The sequence below is a fragment of the Homo sapiens genome, chromosome 12 (genome assembly GCF_000001405.40).
Source record: "Homo sapiens chromosome 12, GRCh38.p14 Primary Assembly".
In the NCBI taxonomy this organism is placed as follows: domain Eukaryota; kingdom Metazoa; phylum Chordata; class Mammalia; order Primates; family Hominidae; genus Homo; species Homo sapiens.
The window spans coordinates 90,291,752-90,304,246 of NC_000012.12; the positions used below are offsets into that span (position 1 = coordinate 90,291,752).

At 33.7% G+C, this 12,495-nt stretch overlaps 1 long non-coding RNA gene across 1 annotated transcript; it reads left to right on the forward strand.

The window, feature by feature from the left end:
- Positions 1-1,566: 1,566 nt before the first annotated feature.
- Positions 1,567-8,947, forward strand: LINC02392 (long intergenic non-protein coding RNA 2392). Its single transcript, NR_135018.1, has 3 exons — positions 1,567-1,809; positions 3,606-3,741; positions 8,448-8,947. It is a non-coding gene; the product is annotated as a long intergenic non-protein coding RNA 2392 (long non-coding RNA).
- The last annotated feature ends 3,548 nt before the right edge of the window (positions 8,948-12,495 follow it).

Consider the following 12,495-nt stretch of genomic DNA (forward strand, 5'->3'; position numbering starts at 1 on the left):
TAAACAGAATGATTAACTTGAGATTGTGCCAAATAATTTCTGAGTGTCTAGATAAGATTAAATGCCTTTATTTTGCTAAACTCATGTGTTGATATTTTCTCATTACTTTCTCTATTACTTAAGCCAAGAGGTTTTTATTAATCACTCACAAACTTGCATCTCTGCACTAAATTCTGGCAATACTTGGAATGCTTTGATGTCATATAGTATCTGAACAGAGCAATGTTCTTGATGGTATGTAGAATAATTGTAAAATAATTTTTATTTTTTCAAAAACAAAATTATCTTCAAAAGTGCCCACCTAGGGCACACTCTTTTTAACTTACATTCTGGCAAATAACTGATATTGACCATCCATTGCTCCTCAAAAGAAAAATGATTCCCTGTTAGACAGACTCTTAAGTTAAAAATACCTTTTAGGCATATACTTAAAGTCTCATTTCTTTTCCTATGTCCTCCACAATGTCTTTAATGTGCTTGATTTGGGTAATAACACCCAGCAGTCACGGAAGACAGAAACAGCCACCTTGATTACTCCCTCAGCATACTTATGCATGAACTGAGTCTTGATGCATGAACAAAAACACTTCAAGGTCATATTCCTTATCTCTCTAGGTTATTATTCTCTCTTAAGAGGAAACTACGATGCTTCCTCTCTTACCAGAATGATAATCGAGATATTAACACACGGCTTTGTCATAAATCCTAAACACAACTAAGTATAGATAAAGATCTACAACAGAGCAAAAATTCTCTAGCACTGGATACATACACAAACTATCCTAGGCAGTTTCTCCTAACAGCTGCTAAATTACTTCTATTAATTGCAGCTTCATAAAACTAAAGAAAAGAAAAGAAAAAGAAAGAAAACAACAAGGCTGTTTAATGGCATGCCTCTGTGTTACTACTTTTCTGTATGGTACACAGCAAAGCAATCAAACATTTGGACATTACAAATATCCTAGCAATCAATTTGATTTAAAATACTCTCCAAATGTAGATACTGCAAATGAAAAGACTCATTTCTTTTAGCCATTATTTCTAATGCTGCTAAAAAGATGCAGTTGGGGAAATGCTTATCAGAAGTACTAAATCAGCATTACAGATATATATCAAGGAACCAGATGAATCTACAATTGCAACCAATTTGTTTTTCAGACGAGGTTTTATTTTTTTTCAGACTTGATGGATGGCTGTTTTTTAAGAATAATATTTGTCTAGAATGGATTAACTCAGGAGAGTGATACAAATATACCCAAAAGAATGAAGAAGTGTAAGTGGAGAGTGGTATATATAAACTATATCCAGGAAGAAATGAAATAATCGAAAGGTCCATTTTATGCTTGACATTTAGAGAACAGCCCTCCAAATTTACATAGTGACAAGAATGCTGAACAAGGTCAGGACAATGGAAACTTCTTTGGCAGGATCTAGTTGTGATATCAATGGGGAAATGTCTTAAACCAGGTATCTCAACCTTAGTTCTATTGACATTCTGGGCTAGGTAATTCTTTGTTGTGAGAAACTGTTCTCTGTATTCTAGAATGCTTAGGAGCATTACTGACCTCTTCCAGTGCGATGCCAGTAGCACCCTCAACTGTGAAAATAAAAAATGTCTCCAGACATCGCCACTTGTTTCCTGAGGGCTAAATTACCAGTTGTTGTAAACTACTGTTTTACATACTTTTTGGTTTTTTAATCTCTAAAGAGAGGAGTTGTGAAAAGATGTGTCTTTTCCAGCTCTGATATTCTCTGACCTGTCCAGCTATGCTCACAAAATTGATGAGAAACTCTATCTGTTCTTATCAGGTAACACCAGAACTAGCCTTTTTATGTTCTCAACTTGCAGAAATTATAGCTAGTTTCCCCACACACAGTAAGGGAATTCCAACTGCATCTTGTGCCATATTTTGAGTTAAAATTTTACTTTGCTCGTTTTCATTCTTTATGCAGCATCTTCCGGATAGGGTGGTCAACTGTCTCAGTTACCTGAGACTTTCGTGGTTTTGGCATTGAAAGTCCTGTGTCCTGAAAAAGCCCTCGATCCTGAGGAAACAGATCACTTTCCTTCTATAACTATTTCCACATGGTTTTGCATGTGTGTAGATATGCGTATATACAAACATGTCATGAAGAATACTATAGTACTATTCTAATAGTGTTAGAATAGTATAGTAATAGAATAATATAGTACTCAGTTATCTTAATCTATTTTTTATTATTTTATTTTTAACATATTTTATGTTATCAAGTATTATTTAACTATATTATTTTAATGCATGATTATTATCTTATTCTATTAACGTACTACAGTTTATTGAATAATTTCCATATGATTAGACATTTATGCTCTTTCTAGTTTCTTTTAAAATAAAAAATCAATGCTCAATGAACATTCTAATAGTTACACATTTATGCATACCTTTTAAATATTTTTAAATTAAACATTTTAATTTTGAATAATTTAAAATATCCTACAGGATATAGATATATAACAACCCTGTATCTATTCTGTCATATTTAATTTACATTACAGAGTTAAAAAATAAATAGAAATGAAATTTAGCAAATTCAGCTGAAGTCTGTCCTCCCTACCTCCCCACGTGTACCCACTGTCCTTAAGAAAGTGTGTGCCATTCCCATCAATGACCCTGAACATTTGTCACATACTTAATTATCTACAAAAAGCAAAAACGATTCACCAGCATTGTACATTTCCTTTTGCATCTTGAGTTTTTGCCCAACATCATTTTTTAGAGATTTATCCATGTTGATAGATCTATATTATTAGCTATAACTGCTATATAATGTTCTGTTTCATGACTGAACTTTCATTTTTCCACTCATATTTAAAGACAATTACATTTTCAAATTATTTTGCTGTCACAAACAATGTTGCATTATTTGTATATGCACAAGTATATCTGTGTATATGCATCCTCATGTACAGCACAAAACTTCTGTAAGGTAAACAGATTTAGGAGGAAATGAGGATATGCATATCTTTAACTTCACTTCAGCTAGTTTTCTTCCTGAATGGTTATTCCAAATAACACTTTCGGAAGTAATGTACAAGAATTCTTGCTTCTCACTGCTTTCCTAAAACTTAATATTAGCAGACCTTATATTTTTTCCTTCTACTTCCTTTGAATATATAACCTATCCTTTGTGATTTTTCTTTTGGGGTTTATATTATTTATTTTTCTAACTTCTTCAGCAGATTCTTAGCTCATTAATTTTTAGTCCCTTTCTCATTTTATTATGCTCTTTTAAAAGTATGAATTTCTGATTAGTATTTTTGCTGGATATGACACATTATGATTTGTAGAGCTGTTATTAATCAGTTATAATTTTTTAGCAACTTTATTGAGGTAAAACTGACAATAAATGTCACATTTAAAAGTAGTCTTTTAATTTCAAATTTGTTTTATTTTAAACCATTTTTTATTTTTGATTTTTGTGGATATATAGTAGGTACGCAAATTTATTTATTTTTTTTTATAGTAAGACATTTAATTTTATTCCCTTTAATAAATGAGGAATGTGGTTTTATTCCTTCCATTGTCTGCTTCTAAAGTATAGATATAAACTTGTGTCTACTGCAGATGCAGATAAGAAACGTGGGAAGCCACAAGAAAGCCAAGTAGCCTGGGAAAAAGTGGTCATTGAGCCATGAGAAAAAATTAACATTTGATCCTGTTGGTGCCACCTGAAGGCAGAGATGGCTGAGGACCCCCGAGTGTAAGTCCAGAGAGCTCCCCTGCAGCCCCACCCTGACTTTCCAGGATGAGCCTTCTCTAGGAAGCCACTGCTCATTCGGAAAGTGAAGAACGCCTGTGTTTCCAACACCAACCCCAGCTCTGCTGACATCTCAGGATGGCAGGACCACGCGTGATGGAATACCAGGCAGGGGAGACTCAAATTTATAAGTTACATGAGATATTTTGAAACAGGCACACAATGCATAATCACATCAGGGTAAATGGGGTATCCATTATGTCAAGCATTTATCATTTCTTTGTGTTACAAACATTCCAGTTATATGTTTAGTTATTTTAAAATGCACAATAAGTTGTTGTTGACTGTGGTCACTCCATTGTGCTATCAAATAGTAGATCTTATCTTATTCATTCTATCTAACTATATTTTTGTATCCATTAACCAGCCCCACTTCTCACTTCTCCAGCTTCCATTCCCAGCCTCTGGTAACCATCATTCTACTATCTATCTCCAGGAATTCAATTGTTTTAATTTTTAGTCTCCACAAATCAGTGAGAACACGCAGTTTATCTTTCTGTGTCTCTCTTATTTCACTTAACATAATATCCTCCAGCTCCATCCATGTTGCTGCAAATGATAGAATCTCATCTTTTTTTCAATTGCTGAATAGTACTCCGAAACAGTGTGTATTTGGTAAGTGCTGATATATGTAAACACCACTGAAGTCTTCAGCAAAATCAGAATAATGAACATGTGTCAATCCCAAAAACTTCTATCTGTCTTCTTTGTATTTCATTTCTCCCATCCCTCTACCCCCATCCCCCATCCCCAGGCAAAACTAATCTGCTTCCTTTATTTACTATTGGTTAGTTTGCATTTTCTAGAATTTTGTATAAATAGACTCATATAGAATGTACTCTGTTTTGGTCTAGTTTCTTTAATTTAGCATAATTATTGTGAGATGCATCTATGTTGTTGCATACATCTTTTTTTTTTGCTGAGTAGTAATCTATTGTATAAATGTAACACCAATTTACTATTTCATTGATAGATATTTTAGTTGTTTCCAAGTTTAGTTTAGGTTATTACTTAAACATGAAATTATGAATGTTCATGTTTAAGTCATTGTGTGAAAACATGCTTTTATTATTTTTGAATATATACCTAGAAGTAAAATTGTTGGATCATATGGTTAGTATATGTTTACTTTTCTGGGATAATGTCAATGTCTTAGTATATATTCTAGATGTTGTTTTTTCTTGTTACTTTACTTTTTAATCAAAATAATCTGTCAATAACTTTAGAGAAGTAAAATTTTCTTCTAGAATTCCCCATAATTTTTGCTTTATATTTTACTATATTTTTCTGTATATATATTTGCTACATTTGCCAAAATATGTCTTGTATATTGAAGTCATGTTAGTTACCCACATGATCAGAGCATTAGCATTATGTTGTAATGCTTTGCCAATTTTTTTCTTTTATTTGTCCGTATGTCTGTTTTGCTTGATATTAATATAACCAACTTTCATTTACTTTATATATCATTTCCATTCTTTGACTTCAAAACTCTCTGACTTTATGTTTTTGCCTCTTGTAAAGGTATATATCTGGAACTTATTTATCAGAGCATCACTAAGAGCTTTTCTGTAAGAGTGATTGCCATTTATTTGTGAGTAATATATTGCTACTCTCTCATAGTTTTGAACAGTTTCTCTCTTAGCTCTTCCTATCTTTCTTATTCTCTGTCTTGCTTTCACTTTTGTTCCTGTTCTTTCTTTCTCTCTGTCTCTGTTTTCTGTTTCCTACTTTATTATAATATATTTACGTATAAATTCTGAATAATTCTCAATTATTGTCATCTTAAGCATTTATTTTTCTACAGTCTCTCTGTCATTTTCTTTTGCTCCTATTTAGATAAATGTTAGATATTTTTAACACATTTAAATATATCTCTTTTTTATGTCGTAATTTCTTCTGATAGAAATTGTGTGATATTTTCAACTATTTTTTCCATTTCAATTATCCCCTTTTCAGCTAAATATAGACTGCTGTTTACCTATCTCTATCAGCTATCTATGTCTACCTATTAATGTGTCTGTCTCTCTATAACATATGCATGTATATATTTCAATGGAACTGCATTTTTAAAATATATATTTTGTTCTTTTCTGAGATGTATTGTTTCGTTATGTCATGCTTTTTCCCTAAGGTTTCAATTTTTCTTTTACATTTTAATTAATTTTACATTTATTTTGTATCTTATTTGAGTGATCTTGATATTACAACATGTTCATGGGGTTATAAATCAGATGTGTCTTTTAACTCATAATAGATTCTTTCCTCATATGCTTTTAATTTTTGCTTTTAATTTTTTATTGTTAGCTCACACATTAGGAAGGCTTAATTTTTCCCTGCTGTCAGAAAACCTTGTAGTAGCTTGCACTGTGTTCTGCAAAAGAAGCCTCAGAATTATTAACAAATTTTATATTAATTTCTTCAATTGGTGGTACTGACATTACATAGGTAATGAAAATTTGAACCCTAAACCAATGTGAGATACAAAACTGGAACCTCTGAGGATTATTCTTTTTCCTTCTATAGCCCACAGTAATACAGATGAGCTTTCTTTCCACTTCCCTGTGCCGGTGGGGAGAATATTTGTCTAGTTTGCCCTTTCACTAAGGGTATAGCACTTTGGGGATTCTAGGTTTATGTTAGTCTCAGTTTCTCTTCCCTGTCTTGTATCCAAGATGCTGTATCGCACAGACAGAAAATCCTTATCCTTCCTGCCTACAGTAGCCTCACCATCAGCTCAAAATATTCTGCTTTCAATTACCTATTCACTTATGATACTTGACATTTTTCCTTCCTCACAAGCTGTCAGGCATTTAAAACAATTTCAACATTTTAAAGCATGAGAGATTTTACTTTTTTTTTTTGTCCATGGCATTTCTGGAATCTGAACTCTCCCTTAGTAATATCTTAGTAAAAGTTCTATAGGTAAAATTGCTGAGTCAAAGTATTCATCTATCTTTAATGCTTTTAACATAATTGTCAAAATTGTTTGCTACAAGAAGCATGCAAGGATAGGATCATGATGATGCCTCAGTCTACACAGATGACCTTTGCTTTGCTTCTCTGTCCCTTCTCTTTCATCCTTCTTCTACTCTGGTGCTACTTTATGACAGCCTGGAATCATTTGTTTCTGCATTTCTGGGGTGCTATGGAGCTCTTCAGTGCTGTATTGACTTGTCTGTCTTGTCACCTACCACCGCAAATTGTAATATGGTTTATTGCTACTTCCTCAGTATTGACTGAGGATAGTGTAAGTGTTGCTATTGCTTTGTGTTCCTACAGGGACAAAAGCCTTTTTCACAGGGACTCATGACTTGCTACCCTTTCAATTCACCTTCCTTCCCACTGTCTAAGAAATCTTTACTGATTTTCGAGTTAGAGAATGAAGGTGGTTAAGAGTCTAGCTGTTAAGTAAACTGCATTTTCCCATCTATTGTCTGGCCTGTGTACTAGAGTCCTCTCTGCTGCTCTTGGGAGAGTGGAATTTTAAAATTCCAAATTCAAGAAAGTATGGCATCTTTTTTTTTCCCCCTTGTTTTCAGTTCATGTGAGACAAATCAGTAGAATGTCTCAATGACTGAAGGGTCACAGAGTGAAAGAAGGCAGGGGAATAAAATCACTTTTGTTAATATAGCATATTATTATCATATAACATTTAATGAAGCTTCGGGGGATTCTTTTACTTCACCCACATGGTCCCTTGCCACTCTTACAATACCTTAGACCTCAAATCTCCAAACGTATACTTTTTTGACTCACAGGAAGTCTAGGTTTCCGTTTCGGTTTTGCAAAATATCTAAGCTATTTCTCCTGGGAGTCCTTAGAGAGACAGAGTTCTGGCATAAAATGAAGCTACTTCTTGCATTTCTGGGGTTCTTCTTTTTAGTGTTCCTTCCTCTGGTCATCCATGACCTCTGTAGCCCAAGATTGTTGCTGATGGAATTGCCAGTGTTGTCACAGATATCCTCTATTTTTGACGCTTTCTCCCTCTAGCCATTAGAAAAGAAAATTTTCTTCTTTATATGACGAGTCTTCTGAAGTTTCTCATAGCATGTATGTTGGCGCCGTGGTAAATTCTTCCTTTATTTTATGTCATTTTTTGTCTTAGAGTAAGCAGACATCCAAAGGGCAATGTTAGGGGATGGAGAGGTCTATTCTCATACTCTCTCTGAAAATACTATTTCTCTTTTGAAACTCAGGTTCTGTTGCTCTACTTACATACTCTATCAGACTTGTTTTTCACTTGGATATTTTCTCACAGATTTCATTATCCCATGGAAATCAAGTTCTATTACTGGAAATCTGGATCTGTGCCCTAGAACATTCCCAGGCAGTTAAGACACTCTTGATCAAGTTATGATTGTTAGAAGATGGTTCTGCCCAAGAGCACAGAAAGAGCCTCTGTGGACTAATGAGGTTTAACTTCCAATTACATCTAATAGAGTTTTATATCTGACACAGCCTGCAATATTTTGTCCTGTATTTTTATTTTATAGCTGACAAATTTACCAAGTGTTTTTATTTGTTGCAATAGTTTTGATGCAATATTACAAATATGGTTATTACTTCCTAATTAGCTTATAAATTGTATGCAATTCTAATAAAAACTTTATTTTTTTACTTGACACATTTCTAAATTTCTCCAGCAGAATGTATGAATGAAAGACTTAAGAATACATCTGACCCAGGCAGCCTGGGTTCAACTCTCCATGTGAGAATACCAAGCTTGGCTGGGCACAGTGCCTCACATCTGTAATCCCAACACTTTGAGAGGCTGCGGCAGGAAGATTACTTGAAGCCAAGAGCTGGCGAACAACCTGGGCAACAAAGTGAGACTTCATCTCTACAATTTTTTTTTTAATTAGCCGGATGCAGTGGTGCACACCTGTAGTCTCAGCTTCTCAGGAGGCTGAAGTAGGATTGCTTGAGCCTGTGAGCCCAGAAGTTTGAGACGGCAGTGAGTTACGATCACACCACTGCATTAGAGCCTGAATGGCAGAGTGAGAGCCTATCTCTAAACTAAGTAAACAAATACAGACATACATACATAAAGTAAGAATTATTATAATAACAAGAATACAAGCAGTCTGCAATTTGTGTTTATGGTGCTAACTGCAACTCATGTATGTGGTACCCTCATTTTTCACAATATCATGGTAACTAAATAACTGTGCAAATTAAGAGTACAGTTCTTATGTGTATGTTTTATAGTTAATACATACTGTTCAAAAAAAGAACTACCTGTACTAAATAAGAATAATATAGGTGGACTTGTCTACTGCCTAATAAAACACATGATAAAGCACTACAAATGAAAGACAATAGTTCTTACAAGCAAATAGGGAATGCAGAGGAAAAATAATAGAGGGGCATCTCAGTCAAGATTCAAATTTAGTTTATAATAAATACAAAACTTTTCTCTCAATTTCTGGATCTGGATTATATATGCTGTTATTACTAATTTTACATATGACTGTCTTTTTAATCATTTATTTAGTCAATTAATAGATTTATTTATTCAGAATTTATTCAGTCAGCTTCTGTGAAACTGCCACCCAAGCCAAAAATAGAAATAGTAGAAAACCTTACATCTACCTAAACCATTCTCCTCAACTACCTCCCTTTCACTTCTCGGATGCAAATACAATTGTGTGTGTGTGTGTGTGTGTGTGTATGTGTGTATGTGACTTATTTTAACTTCAGAGGTGTAAGTTCAGGTTTATTACATAAACTTGTGTCATGGGGCTTTGTTGTACTGACTATTGCATCATCCACGTATTAAGCCTAGTACTCATTAGTTATTTTTCCTGATCCTCTCCCCCCTCCCACCCTCCACTTTCTCAAAGTCTCCAGTGTGTGTTGTTCCCCACTATGCGTCCCTGTATTCTCATCATTTAGCTCCCACTTATAAGTGAGAACATGCGGTATTTGCTTTTCTGTTTCTGAATTGCCATTTAAAAAATTGGTACATCTAATGCATGCCATAACATTATTTTATTTAGTTTTAGCTTGCTTTTGAACTTCATAATAACTATACCATATGTAGTCTCTGGACATGCCTTTTCACTTTATATTATTAATACTGTATGCAGCTACAGTACCTTTAAATTTACTGTTACATAATTTCTACTGTGTGAAAAAGAGCACAGTTTATTTACTCTCCAGTTGATGGACATTGGATTGTTGCCATTTTTTTTTCTTTTATGCTAAGAACAAGACTGTCAAGAAGCTATGTATATTCCTATATCTTTTTCTGGCACACAGATATAATGTAAGTGTTTATCACACAAAGATTCAGTTCTTTATCCCTGTAGAGTTGATTTCCGTGTGTGTTATGACATAAGGATCTGATTTCATTTTTTGTACTCATATGGAACTAATTTTTCCAGCTTCATTACTAAACAGTCTTCTTTCTCTATAATCTGCCATGCCATCTTTGCATATGTCAGTGTTTCCTAAGAGCATGGGATCCTCTGGGCTGTAGATTCTTTATTATTATTATTATTTGCCTATCCATACTCTAATGCCACACTGCTCTAATTACTGTAGCTTTATAGTAAGTCTTCTTATTTGGAAAGTCTTATCCTCTCCTTATTCTTCTACTGAAGTATCCTGGCTATTCTGAGTGCTTTGCTATTCCATATAAATTTTAGAAGTAATTTATAAAGTTTCATTAAAATATTACATTCAGAATTTTTAAAGGATTAATTTTCTTTAAATTAATAGTCATTTTGGGGATAATTGACATTTATAATTGTTTTCCAATCTATTAACATGGTATATCCCTATATTTACTTACCTTGCCTTTAATATCTTGCAGTAAATTTCTATAATATTCTGCATAAAACTTTGGTACATTTAAAAAATGTATTCCTTGTGTATTAGTTAGGGTTCTTTTTTTTTTTTTTTTTTTTTTGAGATGGAGTCTCGCTCTTTTGCCCAGGCTGGAGTGCAGTGGTGCAATCTCGGCTCACTGCCAGCTCTGCCTCCCGGGTTCACGCCATTCTCCTGCCTCAGCCTCCCAAGTAGCTGGGACTGCAGGCGCCCGCCACCACGCCTGGCTAATTTTTTGTATTTTTAGTAGAGACGGGGTTTCACCGTTTTAGCCAGGGTGGTCTCGATCTCCTGACCTCGTGATCCGCCCGCCTCGGCCTCCCAAAGTGCTGGGATTACAGACGTGAGCCACCGTGCCCAGCCTTAGTTAGGGTTCTTTACAGAAACAAAATGTATATTCTGCAATATACGTATACACACACAGACAACATGCACACACGCACACATACATGCAGAGACCTAACTCTGGTGGAATATGTTCCAATTTGAGGACAGAATAAGATGCATATCTCAGCTCAGGCAGACAGGCAGAGAGAGAAGGAGAATTCACCCTTCTTCCACCTTTTTGTTCTCTTCAGACCCTGGATGGATTGGATGATGCTCATCTGGACTGGAGAGGGCAATCAGTTCAGTCTGTTGATTCAAATACTAATCTTATCTAGGAACACCCTCACAGACTCATCCAGAAATAATATTTAGCCAAATATTTGGGCACCCTGTGGTCCAGTCAAGTTAACACATAAAATTAACCATTATACCTTGGTATTTTATTGTTGTCGTTATAGTAATTTACTGTTTTGTTGCTGTTATAAATGGTAAAATTTAAGTTATTATTGCCAAATACTGGTTGTGGGAATATTGAAATGCAATCTTATGCCCATCAAATTTGCTAAATTCTGGTATTATTTTGTGTAATTTTTACTAGATTTTAAAAAATTATATAATTATGTCACTTTCAGATAATGACAGCTTTGTTTCATTTATTTATTTATTTATTTTTTATCTTATCACACTTGTCAAGACACTTACTTTGAGTAGAATTTAAAAAGTGAGTTGTTTTTATAATTTTAAAAAAGTGCTTTCAATATTTCTCTATCTAGAATATTTGAGGTGTGCCTTTTGTAGATACCATTTATTATATTTCCTTTTACATTTAGTTTAGTAAGACTTTTTTTATTCTGAATGGCAAGTTTTTATGAACTAATTTTCCAGTATTTGTTGAATAGAACATTTTACTCCTTTATTCTGCTGTAAATATACATTTTCTAATAGTGGAAAACAAATGACATAATAAACAAAATTCATTCAATTAATATATCTTGAGAAAAAATATACAATAGTCTCCTGTACCAAATACCAGATAGTGAGAAAAAGGGAAAATCTTTCTGAATATAAAAGCAAAGAAAGAAAAGAAAATATTGATATGTTCATGTAGTCAAATGCTCTACCACAGAGCTATACCCCCAGAATGTTGATATATTTATTTTTCAAAGTTTAGAAACTTCTGAGTTATATTAAATGTCTTAAAGAAAAATAAGAAAGAAAGTACCAACTGGGCAGGGGGAAATACTTGTACCATGTAGCATCAATGTGTCATCAATCATGTCAACATGTCAGCTCTTATGAATCAGTAAGAAAAGGACAAAAAATACTACAAAATAATCTGGACAAGAGATCTGAGCATGTCATACAGAAATATGTCAGATGTTTCCAAATCACTTTATATTTAATACAATTTACCCTCCATAATGATCAAAGAAATACAAATTAAAAATAGAAAAATTTTTGCCTTTTGAAATTTCAAATATAGAAGAGTAAAATAATAGTAACCAGTATTTGTAAGAATTATGGATCTTGATGTAT